Below are 18,786 nucleotides of genomic sequence, written 5' to 3'. Positions count from 1 at the left end.
TTTTTAATTTTTATGGGTATATAGTAGGTATATATATTTATAGGTTACATGAGATACTTTGATACAGGCATGCAATGCGTAAGTCACATCAGGGTGTTTTGCTGGTGAGACTTGCAGGGTTCTTCACCTTGACAAGCCACAAACCTCCTGGTGCCTTGGCTGTGATAGAATGAGCTTGCGACTGTGGAGGACCCACGGGGCAGCTGTTGCTCTGCCCCACTCAGCATTGCCTGATTTCTTGCTTCCTCCCCTCTCCCTTTCTCTCACACAAATAAAAGCAGAATTTCCTTCTGGCCCCTCCCCAGCAGAGAATCTTGGATGGGAGGTGCCCCCGCAGTGACCAGAGCAGCAAGGAGCATTTGTGACTGTGGGCTCTGTCTAAATGGCCCTACTGCTGTCTGCAGCAATTCTCACAGTCCTGCATTCACGGGTTGCAGAGAAACTGCATTGCTCTTCCTTGGAGTCTCATCATTGATGTGGAGTCTCATGCGAGGCGACGACATTTCTTCCAGTTGTCTGGAAAACCCAGAGCCTCTGTTCCAAAGAGGATCTCAGCCACAGCCTTCCCAAATCCCACCAGGCCAGGCCTGATGCCTGGCTTGGAGGGAGGGAAACTCAAACAGAAAGCCATTAAAAGCCTGTCAGCAAGCAGGCACATGCAGTCCTACCTGTATTCTGAGCAGCATGTCCAAACAGCTGTTGGCTGGAGCTCAGCGTCACGGTAGGAAGTCCAGCCGTGGAGAGGCTTCCTCTGCCCCCAGAGTTTCGTTACTGAATAAGGCAGGTTACACACGCTGTGCTGATGTTTGTCTCTGCCCCAGGAATCCTTTGCATTTAATTATCAGGTAGATTCCCTTGCCTAAAATAATGTCATCCAAGGTGGTGTTTGAGGAGGCAGGAGGGAAGTTGAGTTTGGCTAAATAACCAGATTCTGAAATCCCCTCAGAACTTCCAGACTCTTCCAGCAGTTAGCTGAGATGTAGTTTTCTTGTGTCAGAGCTTCTGGCAGCCTCAACTGAGTGGTTCTTGGAGCTGGAAGGGATGTCCAGAGTCGACATTTTGCAGACGGTGAGCCACCTCCCTTCCCACGGCGCTATGTGGCCCAGTGGAGACTCGGACCAGAAGCTCAGGCCACAGCACAGTGCTCTTTCCACACGTGAACAGAACCAGGGCCAGCGCTGAGCCCTGTCCAGGTGGCTCTCTTGGTAACTGGACTCACTTCACCTTTACTTGAAAAGACACCTTTGGCTTACACAGCTAGGGTTTCCTTCGTGCTCAGGTGGCAGGGGTGTGATCTGATGCAGCTTTCTCTGCAGAAGGAGTGTCCCCATTCTTCCAGGTGTTTGGTTTCCTGCCTGAAACCCTTGTGCACCTACTGCCCACTGCCAGTGGACAACTTGAAACCAAGTACCTGACTTCTCCAGACCTGCCCCTCTTGGGGTTCCTCCTGCTGTCCCTGTGCCCTTGCTCCGGTCAACCATTCTCTTCTCATTCTGGAAATGACCTCTCCTGTAGTGGACAGGCCCAACCTGTGGCCTCTGGAAAACCCAACCTGTGGCCTCTGGAAGAAACCTGAATGCCTTTGGGGACCTTGCCACCAGCCCACTCAATGGCACGTTCTGGGAAAGGGCGCTTCTCATCTCCATCTGTTTGAGGTCACAGATGGCTTGCTCTCACTTTGTGCGAAGGTGGTAGTTTTGCCAAATGGCAGTGGCAGACAGAGAGGGCCAGCAGAAGGGCTGGGGGGTCTGGGAGAGCCACGGAATCATGCACTTTGTTCCTGACATCAGAGCAGAGCACAGATGGTGGTTTCCAGGAGCCAGCATGAGGATCTGGGAATGGCCTTTCTTGGAAAAAAATATACATCAGTAGATGGATGTAGAATGAGGGAGGTTATCATTTTCTTAGCGAGTCGCTGGAAGCATGAGTAGGGCATCCTCTTGTTAAGCAGAGCCTCACTTCTGCAGTGTTGAGAGGGCCTCTGCTAAGTAAGCCTCAGTGACTCACACCTCACTTGTGATTGGTATCAGCAGCCAATGAGAGGAAGGCAGGCTGGTCAGCGTTGAACTGAGCTGGGGAAGAGTCTTAGGGTTTCCAAGGCCCCGGTGATGCTGATGCAGGCAACTGAGGCAGGCAACCACTGGGAGAAGCTGGGCCCTGTGGTGCTGGGTGTATCATGTCAGGGCCTGAACTTGTGCCCACACCTTGGCCACGGCTTTCCCAGATTGCATTCGGGTGGATTGCTAAAGAGAAAGACAGGGCATCCACAGTGGTAGTTTTTAGAAGTCAAACTTGGTAATACTATCGCCATACCAAGGACATAGCAGATCCAGGAGGACGCCTGCCGTGAGGCAGCTTCAGACACTGAAGACAAGTGACAAGACGCCTGCTGACGACCCAAAGGCATGCATGGGTTGGTTTCTGGTCAGGGGAGCCTTCAGCAGGAGCACATGTTCCTGTTATTCCTTCCATACAGAGGCATGTGCTGCTTTGGTAAATGACACCTAGTGAGTCTGTGGTTGGCTGTGTTGGTGGCTCTGCATCTGGGGAGCACCTGAATTAATAAAGGGCCTGTGAAGCTTTGTGGCACATGCTCTGTGATGACCCAGGGATGTCAGAAACTGCTCCCAGCAGCAGGAGGAGAGTTATAAAGAAAAAGGCAGCCAACTTCCTGCCAGCTGCTTGGTCCACACTCGGCTTACTCAGCAGAACAAGCTCGCAAAGCCCCGCTCCATATACCGTCCCCCAGTTGAGCTGTCCTTTCTGATTTAACAATTTTCACCTAAAACTCCTACATCCCATGCCTAGTTCAGAATCTGGCAGAGGGAAGAAGCCCCACATTTGGTGCTGCACACAGTGGAGAGGCACCCTAGGACTTCAACTCGTGCCTTGCACTTCACAGTGTAGTCTTGGACCAGCAGCGTCTGCATCACCCTGGAGACTGTTGGTTGGAAATGCAGGGCTCAGGCCTGCCAGGGGACTCGTGTAGAACATGATAGTTTGAGACAACTATAGCTAAGGACATCCAAGGGGTGGACCTTTTGGTTTAACTCATTCCTCAGTCCGATGCTCAGTGTTGCAGCTGCAGGTATATATAACTTGGTGGGTTAAAGCAAAAGACTTTTTTTTCCATCTTGTTTCTGCGGGGGTGTTTTCGGGATAGCTTTCATACCCTGGCTTTGGAATCTCTTCTCTGGTCCCTGCTCTTTGGCCATGCTTTGTTTGCTGCCTGTGCAGTGCTAGAAGGCTTTCAGGGATTGTCAGCTGGCTTTGGAATTTGACGCTAGGTTTCCGTTCAGCCTCCTCTATCACCTGGAGACAGGTTTCTTAGCAGGTGTGCTTGGTACAGCCACCACTGATCCTACCTGTCAAAGAGACCTCACTCTAGTCCAGACATGTGACTTGACACATTATAAAACCTGGTACATTTTTGGCTAAACTTGAGCACATCAAACTCTTGGATATTTACAAACTTGTATGGAAACATGCTGGTCAACTTGAATTGGGGTTTCCCGTGAAATGGGGGTTTTCCACGTAGAATATGGAAGGAAGCCGCAAAACTGTCAGAAACACTGAAGAAGAATGTCAGACTCTCCCTAAAAATTCCCAAAGCACCTGGTTTTGTGTGTGTGTTCTTGTTTTTTTTTTTTTAAGAGACAGGGCTTCGTGGCCGGGCGTGGTAGCTCATGCCTAAAATCCCAGCATTTCGGGAGGCTGAGGCGGGCAGATCACCTGAGGTCAGGAGTTTGAGACCAGCCTGACCAACATGGAGAAACCCCGTCTCTACTAAAAAATACAAAATTAGCTGGGCATGGTGGTGCATGCCTGTAATTCCAGCTACTTGGGAGGCTGAGGCAGGAGAATCCCTTAAACCCGGGAGGTGGAGGTTACAGTGAGCCGAAATCACGCCATTGCATTCCAGCCTGGGCAACAAGAGTGAAACTCCACCTCAAACAAAAAAAAAAGAGGACCTCGCTCTGTCACCCAGGCTGGAATGCAGTGGTGTGATCGCAACTCATTGCAGCCTCAAACCCCTGGACTCAAGTGCCCCTCCCACCTTAGCCTCCTACGTTGCTTGGACTACAGTCGCACACCATCCCGCCTGGTTATTGCTGCTCTTTGACTTGCCAAAAAAGGCAGACTATGGGTCCCTGTCTGTGAAATGCTGACTTTGCTCTCTTGCCTTTTTTTGGTCTCCCATTCAGTTTTTATTTTCAGTTTGGGGGCAGAAGCCGAGATGTGAGCGACTGTGCTTTTCCTAGAGGGTGTCTTCTTCCCACCCTCACTGCCAGGGACCATGTGTGAAGAGCTGGTCCCGTGGCTGCCCTTTTGGTGAAATAGGGAGTTGGCAGGTCAGCCTGTTGGGGTGTCTTGAGTCAGGTATGAAAAGCATCATTTTCTGTTTCCACATTTGTTATATTATTACCCATGGCCTGGAAGACCAGAGCAACGTTCAAATGCTGGGTGGAAACTTCTGGAATCTGGGGGTTCAGAGTAAACCATAAAGTCCAGGAACCAGATCACTTCTTGCTGCAACATGAATCATATGTCCAGAGAAGCTGGTTCACCTCTTGCGGGTTGAGCCTGGTACCTGCCTGGCATTAGTCTTCAGTGGTCCTTGTGTTTATAGCAACTCCTACAAAGTGACTGTAAAGTTCATTTCCTTGTGAAAGGTGGCTCAGGAAGGAAAGCCAAGAGGGCTGGTTACCAAAGGGAAAGAAAGTCGAAGAGCACCCTAAAGCAATCATGTTTTCAACCTTAGGGATTTGCAAAGGGTTGTAAAGATGCCCCCATTTGAACACAGTGGGCACGCTGACAGATACTGCCTGCTCTAACGTTATCACTGGGCATGCTTATCTCCGTCTCAATGGCCCAGCAAGTCTCACCTTACACACCAGGGATGTGCAGTGCACCTTGTACCGGTGGGAGCTGAGGTCCTGGGTGATGGAGGAGGTGAGGAGAGGTCAATAGTTGCTTCACATGAGTCTGGCTCTCTCGGTCCAGATGAAAAGAACTTATTTGCAAATGGGAGTGGCAGACCACATTGATAATTGTGGAAGAGCAATGAAGGAAGGGAAGGAATGCCAAAGACTAAAAATAGGCAGATGCCATCTTGCAAAAGGGAAATGAGACAAATGGCATACATTTCAACTTACGATATTAATATTGCTTATAGGAAACATTCCAGAATGGCTCATCAAACATAATTTGTGAGCTCTCAGAAATAAAAGCGACAATCCTAGAAGTCAGCCAAGGATCGTGCAGAGATAGGGGATGGAAAATTTTGCTCAGGTTTCTGCAAAACTCTCAGCCCTCCTGATGGGGAAATATGGAGAACTGTGAGCTGGATACTGCTGCAGTTAAAGGAGTTTGTAACAGTTGGATAACCTTACTCAATGGATGCTTATTAGTAGAGGAATGTCTACCTGAGAGAGTTGCTTCCTGCCTGCCCCGGGCGCTGGAATCACTGCTTGTTTGACTGCTGTAGTCATGACCTGGCTGTGGAGATAGGTAGTATGCTCATCAGACATTGAGATGGCGCCAAGATGGGAGGGAAAAGGGTATGCGGCAATTCAGAGTCCATGAAGTTGTTGGTCACCTTGAAAAGTGGCCAAATGCAGCAATGCGTGATTGCATTTCATTTTCACCCCATCCTATAATAGTAGTAGTATTTGCATTTTATAGAGAGGAAGATGAGGCCCAGGACACTCCACTGGTAAATGGCAGAGCCAGGCTTCAAGCCCTTTGTCAATGTTGAAGTCCATGCACTCGCCATGTGCCTTACAGCTTTCCAGATGGCATTTAACATCGGCTAAGTCTCAGATCAACTAATGTACAGGATGGAGGAAATGCAGCTTAATGACAGTATCACTGCCAGCGAGTATATCTGTCCCTACTTCCTTCACATACTTCATTGATGTTACTCATTGATCCCAGGACCTTCCCTTCTCCACTGAATCGCAACTCACAGGCCTTCCCAACTCTAGGCGGCCACTGCCAGTAGATTAGGGCTGGCATAAGAGATGAAACAAACTGACCGTCCCGTAGGTGTGGAGTAATTGTCGGCTGCACTCACACGACCAGTGTGTTCTTGAGCTGTATTAACACCAGCCTCATCTTCGGAAATGAAGAAGGCGGTGTTAGTCCTGCCAAGCCCTTCAGGGGTTAAGTGGCACCAGGAGGCTTGTGTTCAGCGTGGGAAGTCTGTTTTAAGAAGGACTTCAGGAGCCAGAAGCACGTTCATAGGCAAGGGAAGGGGATGATGAAGGAAACGGCTGGAAGGACTGAGTGTCTTTATGTGGACGAGGTGTGCAGGGGATACTTTGGAGGATGCCAGGGCATGAGGGATCTCTGCGCAGCCCCCGACAGCAGAGCTGAACTGGTGTGCTGCAAGTTACAGGAAAAGAGGTTGCAACTTAGTGGAAGAGGGTTCTTAACATTAGAGTTCTTTAGAAGCAATGGGAAGTGTTGATTTTCTCACACTGGCGAGTTTGCACAAAGATGCTGCCTTCTGGCTTAGGGGTTGAAGTGGAGATTTTTGGAGTTTGAAGAGGTTTGAATTGATCTCTGATCTCACTTTAGACCCTCATGTTCTTGATTCTGTGACATGGGGTCAACATGGGGGGCAAAAGAGACCAGGATCTGAGCAGTGCACACTGTGGGTTCACAGGTGTAGTAAGACAAAACTTAAAACACATGTGTACCCTGTTGAGCAGTGGTAGATCTCACAGGTTTCTTCTACGAGCTTGTTCTCAGGGCTTTATGTCTGTTAATTCATCCCAGCTACTCCATGGGGTAATTCCTGTCGTTCTCTCCATTCTACAGGTAGGGAAACTGAGGCACAGGGAACTTAAGCAACTTGCCATGGTCCCAGAGCTTGTAAGTGATGGAATCAGGATTTGAAGTAAGGTCTCAGTGTCCACACTGCTGACCACTATGTCCATAGCCTCTGCCACAGACTGTAGCGCTTTCAGATTGCTTTCATTGCACTGTCCATGTTAGGCATCCTCAGGGAGGAGGCAGGCGCTCTTGGCCCAGGAAAATAGAATGGTCACTGAGGAGCATGTCTGAATTTGGAGACAGAGGAGTAGACATCAGCCTGATGTAATAGAGGAGTGATTAACAAAAGCCATGGGGCCGGGAGGAGGAGAGGTGGCGAGCCCAGGCCACAGTGGGACAGGACCCTATCATACCTGCCACATACAGATCCCAGAGCTCTGGAAGGGCCCCCAGAAGAGAGGGGCTGTGACAGGGGGCTACGGGAAGTCTGATCTGGTGATGGCCACAGCAGCATGATGGACGGAGGGAAGGTGGTGACAGACCAGACACAGGAGCGGAGTTCCCAGGTGGCAGCATTGGTCAGGAGGCACAGAGGAGAGACAACCTACGCTGGGCCTCTGGATCTCAGAGGTTCTGCCAAAATGTGTAGCCAGGGTCTGGTCCCCAAAGAAAAATTCCTGAAGGTAGCTTTGCCACACATCATTTACCCTCCATGTGCCCCAGTGTCCTCGTCTGTATAATGGGGACACTGACAGCCTCAGAAAAACGTAAAGGTAACCTTCTCTAAATGTAACCAGATATCCTAGAGATTATTCAACAACAACAATAAAATGATAATGAAAGATGGAAAGAAGAAGGCTCACTGGCCAGGGGCCCCAGGGCTTGAGAACGACAACATGGTGAATTCTCTGGATTTTCTTTTCCTCTCCCCACATACACCGATTGGGGCACCTGGAGGCCTGCAGCCTGGAGCTTTCCACAGTCTGGAGCTTTCCACAGTCTTAGACATAAAACCCAAGAACAGTCTGCTCTCCCTGGCCAATGGACTGGGGAGACAAAGCCCAACAGAGACCACATGGGGAGCCTGAGACCTGCTTCATAAACAGGACATAGTGAGCTGGCTACTCTACCTGCAGCAGCAGCAAACCCCAGGCCTACTCAACTTGTGCTCCACAACCAGGACACTGGTGGGCAGCTCGATCTGCTCCCAGCAGCAGCAGCAGCAGCAATGAAACCCCTTGTCTCCCTGCTGTCTCTGTACCCAGAAGCTTCTCTCTCCCTGACCCCCCTATAGGAGGTGGCTCAGCGACACCCAGTAACACAGGGAAGTGCCTTTCACCCCCACAGATATCACCAGCAGCGACTGAAGAGGAGCCTCAACGATACCATAAAAACAAAGCAGATTGGGATAACATTGCAGGGCCTCTGAAAACTAAACTGTCATTGGAATTAAAGCCCACAAAAGTAAGCCAGACCTACCTGGCAAACCTAAACAGTGTGATGGCTTGCTGCAATAGCATATTTAAACAGGATCAAGAGACTCCTAATATAATAACCAAAGTATTCAGGATGTAGTTGAAAATCACTAGTCATACTAAGACTAGGCAAGCCACAATTTGAGAAAAATCAGTCAGCTGGCACCAGTGACAAATGTTGGAATTGTCTAACGACGATTATAAATCATAATAATGCTTCCAAAAATTAATTATAAATTTTCTTGAAACAAAAACAAAATTTCATCAAAGAAATTGAAATTTTACAGAAATAAATCAATGAAAATTATAGAACTGAAAAAATATAGGAACAACAACAAAATTCTCATTGGATGGAATTTAGATAGAGTGGAGATGACGGAATAAAATCCGTGAACTTAGATGAATATAATTCACTCAATCTGAACAGAGAAAATACACTGGAAAAAAAATGAGCTGGGCCTTAGGGATCTGTGGAAGATATAAGCTTGTATCAGGAATCCCAGAAGCATGGTGGTTCACACCTGTAATCCCAGCACTTTGGGGGAGGCCAAGGCAGGCAGATTACTTGAGGTCAGGACTTCCAGACCAACCTGGTCAACATAGAAGAACCCCGTCTTTACTAAAAATACAAAACTTAGTCAGGTTTTGTGGTGCATGCCTGTAATCCCAGCTACTCAGGAGGCTGAGGCTGGAGAATCACTTGAACCCAGGAGGTGGAAGTTGCAGTGAGCTGAGATCGTGCCACCGCACTCCAGCCTGGGTGACAGTGCGAGACTCTGTCTCAAAAAAAAAGAAAAAGAAAAAGAATCCCAGAAGCAAAGGATAAAGATTGTGGCACTGGAAAAAATATTTGAAGAAATAAAGTCCGAAAACATCCCAATTAAGTGAAAGACATATGCCTGCAGATTCAAGAAGCTGAGTGAATCCCAAATAGGATAAGCTCTAAGAAATTCACACTAAGGCACATCAAAACTAAATTCCTTAAAGAAAAAACTCTTCAAAACAACCAGAGACCAGAGGGAGGAGCAAGATGGCCAAATAAAACAGAAGCCTCCATCAGTTGTCACCCCCTGCCACCACCCCACAGTAACACCAAATTTAACAGCTATCTACACCAAAAGTGCCTTCATAAGAATCAAAAATCAAGTGAGCACTCACAGTACCTAGTTTTAACTTCATATCACTGAAGGAGGCATTGAAGTCGGTAGGAAAGACAGTCTTGAATTGCCAGTGCAACCTCTTCCCCCACCCTTCAACAGCAGCCACAGTGTAGCACAGAGAGGTAATCTCTGTGCTTGGCGGAGGGATAGCACAACGAGTGTGAGACTTTGCATTTAACTCAATGCTGCCCTATCACAGTGTGATATGGTTTGGATCTGTGTCCCCACCCAAATCTCATTTCAAATTGTAATCGCGTAATCCCCAAGTCTTGAGGGAGGAACCTGGTGGGTGGTTTCCCCATGCTGTTCTTGCGATAGTGAGTGCTCACCAGATCTGATCATTTTATAAGGGGCTCGTCCGCCTTCGCTCTTCTCTCTCTTGCCACCATGTGAAAAAGGTCCTTGCTTCCCCTTTGCCTTTGGCCATGATTGTAAGTTTCCTGAGGTCTCCCCAGCCATGTGCAACTGTGAGTCCACATGTTAAATCTCTTTCCTTTATAAATTACCCAGACTCGGGTATTTCTTTGTAGCAGTGTGAAAAATGGCCTAATGCACAGTGGAAAGCAAAACCGGGCTGAGCTCAGCTGACACCCATGGATGTCCTAGCTAGAAGAGGAATCACCCATCCCAGTGGTTGGAACTTGAGTTTTGGCAGGCCTCGCCTTCGTGGGCTAAAGTGCTCTGGGGTTCTAAATAAACGTGAAAGGCAGTTTGGGCCACAAGGACTGAAACTGCTAGTTAAGTCCTAGTGCTGTGTTGGACTTGGAGCCAGTGGACTTGGGGGGCATGCAACTTAATTAGACACTAGCTGAGGTGGCTAAGGGAGTGCTTGTGCCACCCCTCTCCCAACCCCAGGCTATGCTGCTTGCAGCAACAAAAATAACTCCTTCCTCCTCCTTCAGGAGAGAAGAGGGAAGCGTAAAGAGAACATTGTCTTGCATCTTGAATACCAGCTCAGCCACAGGAAGATAGGGCACCAGCCAGGTTCATAAGGCCCCCGTTCTAGGCCATATCTCCCAGATGACAATTCTAGACACACACTTAGCCAGAAGGAAACCCATTGCCTTGAAGGGAAGCACCCAGTCCTGGCATCATTCATAACTTGCTGGCTAAAGAGCCCCTAGTCAGCCCTGAATAATCAGAGGTATACCCAGGTAGTATGCCATGGGCCTTGGCTTAGACTCTGAGATGTGGTGGCTTCAGGTGAGACCCAGCACTTTTCCATCTGTGGTGGCTATGGTAAGAGACTCCTTCTGCTTGAGAAAAGCAGAGGGAAAAGTAAAAGGGACTTTGTCTTGCACCTTAGGTACCAGCTTGGCCACAGTGGGGTGGAGCACCAAGTGGGCTCTTGGGGTCCCCAGTTCCAGGCCTTTGCTCTGGACAGCATTTCTGGACTGTTCTGGGCCAGAGGGGAGTCCACTGCCCTAAATGGTGAGTCCGATGTCTGGCAGCATTCACCACAAACTGAAGAGTGCTTGAGCCTTAAGTGAACCTTGTGGTAGCCTGGCAGTACTCCCCATGGGCCTTGTGTGGTGGCGGTGGCCACAGGAAGAGGCTCCTCTGCCTGTGAAAGAGGAGGGAGGAGAGGGCAGGACTTTGTCTCTAGTTTGAGTGTCAGCTTAGCTGCAGTAGAATAGACCACCAGGTAGATTTCTAAGGTTTTGACTCCAGTGCCTGGCTCTTGGACAGTGTCTCTGGATCCACCTGGGGCCTAGGGGAACTTGCCGCCCTGAAGGGAAGGACAAGCCTTGCTGGCTCTGCCACCTGCTGATTGTAGCACCCTGGGACTTTGAGAGAACATAGGCAGTATCTAGGTAGTGGTTACAGCAGGCCTTGGGTAATCCCATTTATAATAGCTACAAATAAAATACCTAAGAATTAACTTAACCAAAGAAGTAAAAGATCTCTGTAATGAAAATTATAAAACACTGATGCAAGCTATTGAAGGGGACTCAAAAAAAATGGAAAGATATTCAGCGTTCATGAATTGTAAGAATAAATACTGTTAAAACATCCATACTACCCAAAGCAATCTACAGATTCAGTGCAATCCCTATCAAAATATCAATGACATTCTTCACAGAGATAGAAAAAAAATCCTAAAATTTATATGGAACCATAAAAGACCCAAAATAGCAAAAGCTATCCTGAGCAAAAAGAACGAAACTGGAGGAATCACATTACCTGACTTCAGATTATACTGTAGAGCTATAGTAACCAAAATGGCATGGGTATTGGCATTTAAAACAGATACACAGAGCAATGGAACAGAATGGAGAACCCAGAAACAAATTCATACATCTACAGTGAACTCATTTTTGACGAAGGTGCCAAGAACATACGTTGGGGAAAGGACAGTCTCCTCAATAAGTGGGGCTGGGAAAACTAGATATCCATATGCAGAAAACTGAAACTAGATCCCTTTCTCTTGCGATGTACAAAAACCAAAATAGATTAAAGACTTAAATCTAAGACCTCAAACTATGAAACTGATAAAACAGTGGGGAGACACTCCAGGACAGTGGTCTGGGCAAAGATTTCTTGAGTGATACCCCACAGGAACAGGCAGCCAAAGGAAAATTGGACAAATGGGATCACATCAAGTTAAGAAGCTTCTGCACAACAAAGAAAACAACCAGCAAAGTGAAGAGACACCCCACAGAATGGGAGAAAATATTTACAAACTACCCATCTGACAAGAGATTAATAACCAGAATACATAAGGAGCTCAAACAACTCTTAGGAAAAAATCTTATAATCTGATTTAAAAACGCGCAAAAGATCTGAATAGACATTTTTCAAAAGAAGACATACAAATGAAAAAGTGTTCATCATTGATCATCAGAGAAATGCAGATCAAAACTACCATGAGATATCATCTCACCCCAGTTATAAAGGCTTTTATCCAAAAGACAGGCAATAACAAATGCTGGCAAGGTTGTGGAAAAAAGGCAACCCTCATACACTGGTGGGAATGTAAATTAGTACCACCACTATGGAGAACAGTTTGGAGGTTCCTCAATAAACTAAAAATAGAACTATTTTTGTGATCCAGCAATCTCTCTGCTAGGTATATACCCAAAAGAAAGGAAGTCAGTATATCAAAGAGATATCTGCACTCGCATGTTTATTGTAGCACTAGTCACAATAGCCAAGATTTGGAAGCAACCAAAGTGTTCATCAACAGAGGAATGGATTAAAAAAATATGGTACTTACCACAATGGAGTAGAAAGAATGAGATCCTGTCACTTGCAACAACGTGGATGGAACTGGAGGTCATAATAAGCCAGGCACAGAAATACGAACTTCACATGTTCTACTTATTTGTTGGAGCTAAAAATTAAAACAATTGAACTCATAGAGAGTAGAATGATGGTTACCAGAGGCTAAGACGGGTAATAGGAGGCTGGCAGGGAAGTGAAGATAGTTAATGGGTACAAAAACTAGTTAGAAGGAATGAATAAGACCTAGTATTTGGTTCCACAACAGGGCTATAGTTATAATTTAAATGTACATTTTTAAATAACTAAAAAAGTATACTTGGATTGTTGGAGATGATGATACCCCGTTTGCCCTGATATAATTATTAGACATTGTATGTCTGTATCAAAATATCTCATGCACCCCATAAATACATACAGCTACTATGTACCCACAGAAATTAGGAAAAAAAAATTGGGAACAATGTATTGCCTCTAAAGGAACAGCAATTTGGATGACGATAGGTTTCTCATCTGAAATCATAGAGGCCAGAATGAAGTGGCACAAAATTTTTTTTAAGTGTTGAAATAATTCTCAATTTTCAATCCTATATCAAATAAAACTATCCTTCAGGAATGAAGAAAAAATACATTCTCAGAAAAAGGAAATCTAATAGAATTTGTTGCTAGTAAACGGACCCTTAAAGAATGGCTGAAATAAGCTCTCCAAAGAAAATGGTAGGAGAAGAATATGGATCCTTCAAAACAGAATGGGTAAAAGAACAACAGAACAATAGTAAAAAACAACAGAATGGGTAAAAGAACAACAGAACAATAGTAAAAGAACAACAGAATGGGTAAAAGTACAACTACATATTATAGAGTATTCTTAACTTCGTAAACTTTTTAAGTCATATTCTAGCTTTGAAGCATAAGTTATAACATTTCATGTATGTAGACAGAACACTTAAGGCAGTGCATTATGGGGAGGGTATGAGGATCTAAATAAATGTCACATTTCTCTGCTTAACTCAGAGTGGTGAAATGTCAACACCAGTTGGCTGTGATGTGTGTATATGGCAATACCTAGAAGAACCACTAAGAGAACTATACAGAGTGATATTTTTAAAATCATGAATAAATCAAAATCAAACTCTAATTGATGTTCAAGTAACCCACAGGATGTCTAGAAAAAAGAAACAAAAGAAACAAAACAAATAATAAAATGGCACACTTAATCCCTAACATGTCAGTAATTGCTTTCAATGATCTAAAAAAATACTTCAGCTAAAAGACAAACACTGGCAGAATGGATTTAAAAATGTGACCTAACTATCTGCTCCCTGAAAGAAACTCATTTCAAACATAATGACATAGGTAGATTGAATGTAAAATTTTAAAAATTGAAAAAATACATCATGAAAACATTCATTGTGGGAAAAAAACAGGAATCGCTATATTAATATCAGAAAAAGTAGACTTCAGAGGAAAGAAGATTGATGACTGGGGCAAAGAGGGACATTGTATAATGATAAAAAGGTCAACCCACCAGAAAAGATACAACAACCTTTAACGTATATGTACCAAAATAAAGAGATTCAAAATACATGAAACAAAAACTAACCTGAGAGAAAAAGTAGATGAATCCACAATTATAGCTAGATGAATCCACAATTTTAAAAGGCTATTTTCAAAACCTCCCTCTCAGCAATTGATAAAAATATTAGACAGAAAATTAGCAAGGATATAGAACCAAACATCAACCAACAGGATCCGACGGACATTTATAGAACACTTCATCCAACAACAGCAAAATACACATTCTTTTCAAGCTGTCATGGAACATTCAGCATTATAGACTATATCCTGAGGCACAAAGCAAACTGTAACAAGTTTAAAAGAATTGAGATCGTGTAAGGTATATTCTCTGACCTTATAATGGAATCAAACTGAAAATCAATAACAAAAAGACAACAGGAAAATCTCCGAACACTTGAAAATTAAATAACACATTTCTGGATAAACCATAAGAGAAGAAACTTCATTGGAAATAAAAAATACATAGAACGGAATGAAAATGAAAACCCATTTTATCAAAATTTGTGGGATATAGCTAGAGCAGTGCTGAGAGGGAATGTATAGCTGTTAAGTGCTTACATTAGAAAAGACGAAAGATTGCGAATGAATAATTGCTAAGTTCCTACTTCAAGAAATTAGAAAGGCACGCGTAAAATGGTACAGCCGCTCTGGAAAAGTTCCTTTTAAAACTTAACGTATGGCCCAGCAATTGCACTGTTGTGCATTTATCCCAGAGAATTGGAAAGTCATTTTCATGCAAAAACTTGCACATGAATATTCATAACAACTCTATTCTTCTTAATAGCTCAAAACTTGAAACTACCTAAATGTGCTCCAATGGGTGAGCAGTTAATCTGTGGTACAGTCATATCATGCAATACCACCTAGCAATAAAAATGAATGAATTATGGGCACACACAGCAATGTGGATGAACCTCAAGGAAATTACACCAAATTTTAAAAAGCTAGTTTCAAAAGCATACATAATGCATGGTTCCATTTATATAACATTTGTGAAATAACAGTTATTGAGATGGAGAGCAGACTAGTGGTGGCCAGGGTTTGAAGGATAGGGAGGACGGTGGTTATGGTCATAAAAGGGTAGTCTTGTGGTGATGATACAGTTAAGTTTCTTGATTGTGGTGGTTACACAAAGATACACACGTGATATAATTGCATAGAGCTCTACACATATGAATGAACGCATGTATAAGTGGTTTAATCAGAACAAGTTTTGTGGATCGTACCCAATGTCAGAATCCTGATTTTGATATACTGTAGTTATCCAAAATGTTACCATTGTGGGAGGCTGGGGGAAGGGTGCATGCAACCTACCTGTGTTTTTCCTTTCCATAGCTATACAGAGAAAAGATAAAATGCCTTGAGCATCTTTAAAAAATCCAGATGTCCGGGTCACACTTCGTACCAATTAAGTCATGATTTCTGCAGGTGGGATTTAGGCATCTGTATTTTTTTTTAACTCCTTAGGCGACTCCAACACGTAGCCTAGTTTGAGAACCTGTGCTCCTTAATGTGAGCAGTTGTCATAAATGTCATCTTCCTCCTCCTCGTTAAAGCAGCACTGATAGAGCCCTTCCTCTGTGCCATGTACTGTTTGAAGCACCATGCATTCATCATCCCATCTCACCGTCAGTAATAACCACTCTTCTTTCTTCACTGCTGTCGTTAGGCCTCCTTTCCCATTGGAGAGTGGTTGGCCACTGACCGGTGGTTCTGAAAGCATAGAAATGCAGACCTTCCTCATTCTTTTACCATCCACCTCATGAGGGAGTTTGCGCCTGTGGCCTGGGCAGCAGGGCCTGGAAGACAGATCACGGGGCAGGCCATGGTCTAGGGGTTGGTCCCCTATCTTGTTTCGGCTGCCAAGTTTCATAATTTCATTATTTCTTATGTCCTAAAAAGAAAAGACTTGGCTGCCAAAAATAAATGTTTACATGCCTGTGACATTGAGAATGATGAATCTGCCTTGGGACTGGAGGGTGTGGAAGAGAGGAAAGACGTGGAATCTTGCCAAGCAACAAGCAGGCAGGCTCCGTTGCACTCTCGGGGGCACCGTTCACACAGACAATGAGGTCACCACAAGCTGGAGTTGACACTGGTGAGATTTGAGGAAGGGTGAGATTTGAGGAAGGCTGAGAACGAGCTGGTGGTCTCCTAGGACTGAGAACCAAGAGACAAAAGGGGACCAGAAAGAGTACAGATGACCAAGCCACATAAATTCACCTCTGAGGTCAGAGTCTCCATCACGCCCTGGGGTGCATTCCTTCACCTAGAAGTCAGCTGCTGTTCAGGCTCCCTTTATGCATTAAGAGTTGAAATGTTGGTTTTCTTTTCCTAAAGAATTAGGATTCTCTTGAAGGCCTTAACATGGGACTGGGGGGCATACGACGTTTGTAGATGCATGAGCGCTCTACTGCCTCAGTCCGGTGAAATCATGCCGACCTCCTACCTGAAGCAGAAGGAAAATCCTTAGGCCATGCCGGGTGACCAAGGATAAGGACAGAAGGCTGTTCCTTGGACAGCTGCTGTTCCAGACCAATTAGTCTCTGCTCTGTTGGTTGCCAAATTTGGCACTAATTTCTTCCATAAACACAAGTTGAAAGCAGACATTTAAATAAAAGGCAATATCAGAGTTACTTTTTTAAAAAGGCATAGGAACTGGAACAGCTGAGTACCCTTGCTTTTTCTGATTCTTGTTTCACTCCAAATGTGAGATCGAATCCCTTCAAAGCTGGGTTGCAGTAGGCTGCGAGGGGAGGGTGAGTTGGCGGGCAGGACTGGGAGATGCTGGAAGGTGGGTGCTTCTTCTTTTCCCTGATGCTTTCTGCCCAGGGCTGCATATTCTGGGAGGCATGGAACCTGCTGGTACCACCCTTTATTGACACTGGGAGGCTTTTTTGTATGGAACACCTTTTCCTTTTACATTTCAGATGAGATTTTGTGGAAAGAGCCCCTTTTCCTGTCTTAACGACCCATTATCAACTACAAAGTTGCTGCTAGTAAAAATATCTACTGTCGTTCATGCAATCCTTTCAGTGCCTTGCTTGAAACCACATTCCATCCTCCTAACATGAACGTTGCTTTGAGCCAAAATCCAGAGAGGGTTTGAGGACAAGTTGTGTACACAGTCATTAAGACAGCCAAAAGAATATATTTTTATCCTGTGAAATGAATGCCGGTTGAGCAGCAGTGATTACTGCAAGAAGCTATAATTTATACTAGGAGAAGTGAATATTTGTTTAAGGTAAAAAAGTATTGCTTTAGAAGAGCCTCAAAAGTATATTTAAAAAGTAAACGAAATACTAGTAACAATACTCCCAAAGATGAAACTGCATGGAAATTTCAAAAACGAGCCCTTGGTGTTAGAAAAACAGTGAATCTGTACAATACCCAGGATACTTGGTACAGAGTCGCACAAACTAGGGTTTAGTAACCTAGCAGCAGTGTGATTACAGTTCCTGAACTTTGTTCCTTAGAATATTCCCTGTCAGGGCAGACTATCTAGATGAAACATTGGGGCCTTGTATTTTAGTTGTGTCCAGAATCTGCCAACACTATTGCCCTCCTCTGTCTCACCCAAAATTGGGAATCTGAGCAGAAATAACAGTGAGAATGTTGACTTTAACCAAGAAATGATTATCCTGAATGTTGTGTTGCCTAGCTAAGAAGTCTGTGAATTGTTGCCATTGGTTATCAACTCGGCTTCTCCCTGGACTTTGTGGGAAAAAGGAGAGAAGCTTAAATGGGACCAAGAGCTCTGTCACATTGTAAAGAGGGGGCTTGATCTGTGTTTTCCAGTAAGGCAGGTAGGGGACTGTGCCTGGAAGATGTGTGAAGGTGGATCTCAGCTCAGAGTAGGAGAAAGCTGCGGCTCTGGTCCTGCCTGAGCTATTCACAGACAGCCTGTTTCTAGTGGTGATGTTTGGCCTCAGTGGTACACTAGACTCACCTGGGAGTCCCTGTAAAATTCAGATGCCTGGCCTGTACTCCAAAGAGCCTGGTTTACTTGGTCTGAGGTGGGCCCCTGATATTGGTGTTTGGTCTGAGGTGGGCCGCAGATATTGGTGTGTTAAAAGTTTCCCAAGTGATGCTCACATGCAGCCAGCAGTAATAGCCACAGTGGGATGCTTACAGTGTAATCGAGACATAGGCTCAGTAGCTTGCCACTTGCAGAGTCCAGTGAATAAGAGAGAGGTCTGGCATAAAGAAAGCGACTTTTTATTCCAAAGTTCAGCTTAGTGGAGGAAGGACAGGCTTCCTGCCTTAAGGGTATTGCTTCCCTTTTGGAGCAGAAAGTGAGCACTTTTAAAAGGCAGGAGAGGAGGTAAGTGAGCAGGTGGGGGTTGGCAAGCTATCTTGGTGCCTTGTCTACCAGGTGGTTGACTTGGGGTCCTCATGGGCAGAAATAGTTTGTGAGGGTGTCCAGAAACTCTAGCAGGCATACTTTGGGTTGTAAATCGACTGTTCTCTCTCAAGGCAACCTCCTGGTGGATGAGAGTTCTGCTCTGGAGCTTCTAAGCACATAGATGAACTTGCCCTGTAGGGAGTGTCTGGTGAAGAGGAGGTAAAAG

At 45.2% G+C, this 18,786-nt stretch overlaps 1 protein-coding gene across 15 annotated transcripts in view, besides 1 other annotated feature; it reads left to right on the top strand.

Moving 5' to 3' along the window:
• The window catches only part of ADAMTS17 (ADAM metallopeptidase with thrombospondin type 1 motif 17), a 370,539-nt gene that overhangs the window by 149,931 nt on the left and 201,822 nt on the right, over window positions 1–18,786 (top strand). The window lies entirely within an intron of this gene.
• Window positions 626–695: a silencer, noted in NCBI's record as "silent region_6876". NCBI's record gives its function as "represses an Ori minimal core promoter by ATAC-STARR-seq in GM12878 lymphoblastoid cells {active_cell/tissue: GM12878}" and the evidence as "EXISTENCE:reporter gene assay evidence [ECO:0000049][PMID:35858748]".

Source organism: Homo sapiens, chromosome 15 (genome assembly GCF_000001405.40).
Source record: "Homo sapiens chromosome 15, GRCh38.p14 Primary Assembly".
NCBI classification, from domain to species: Eukaryota; Metazoa; Chordata; class Mammalia; order Primates; family Hominidae; genus Homo; species Homo sapiens.
Note: the sequence above shows the minus strand (reverse complement) of the source record. Positions and strands in the feature narration are given on the sequence as shown.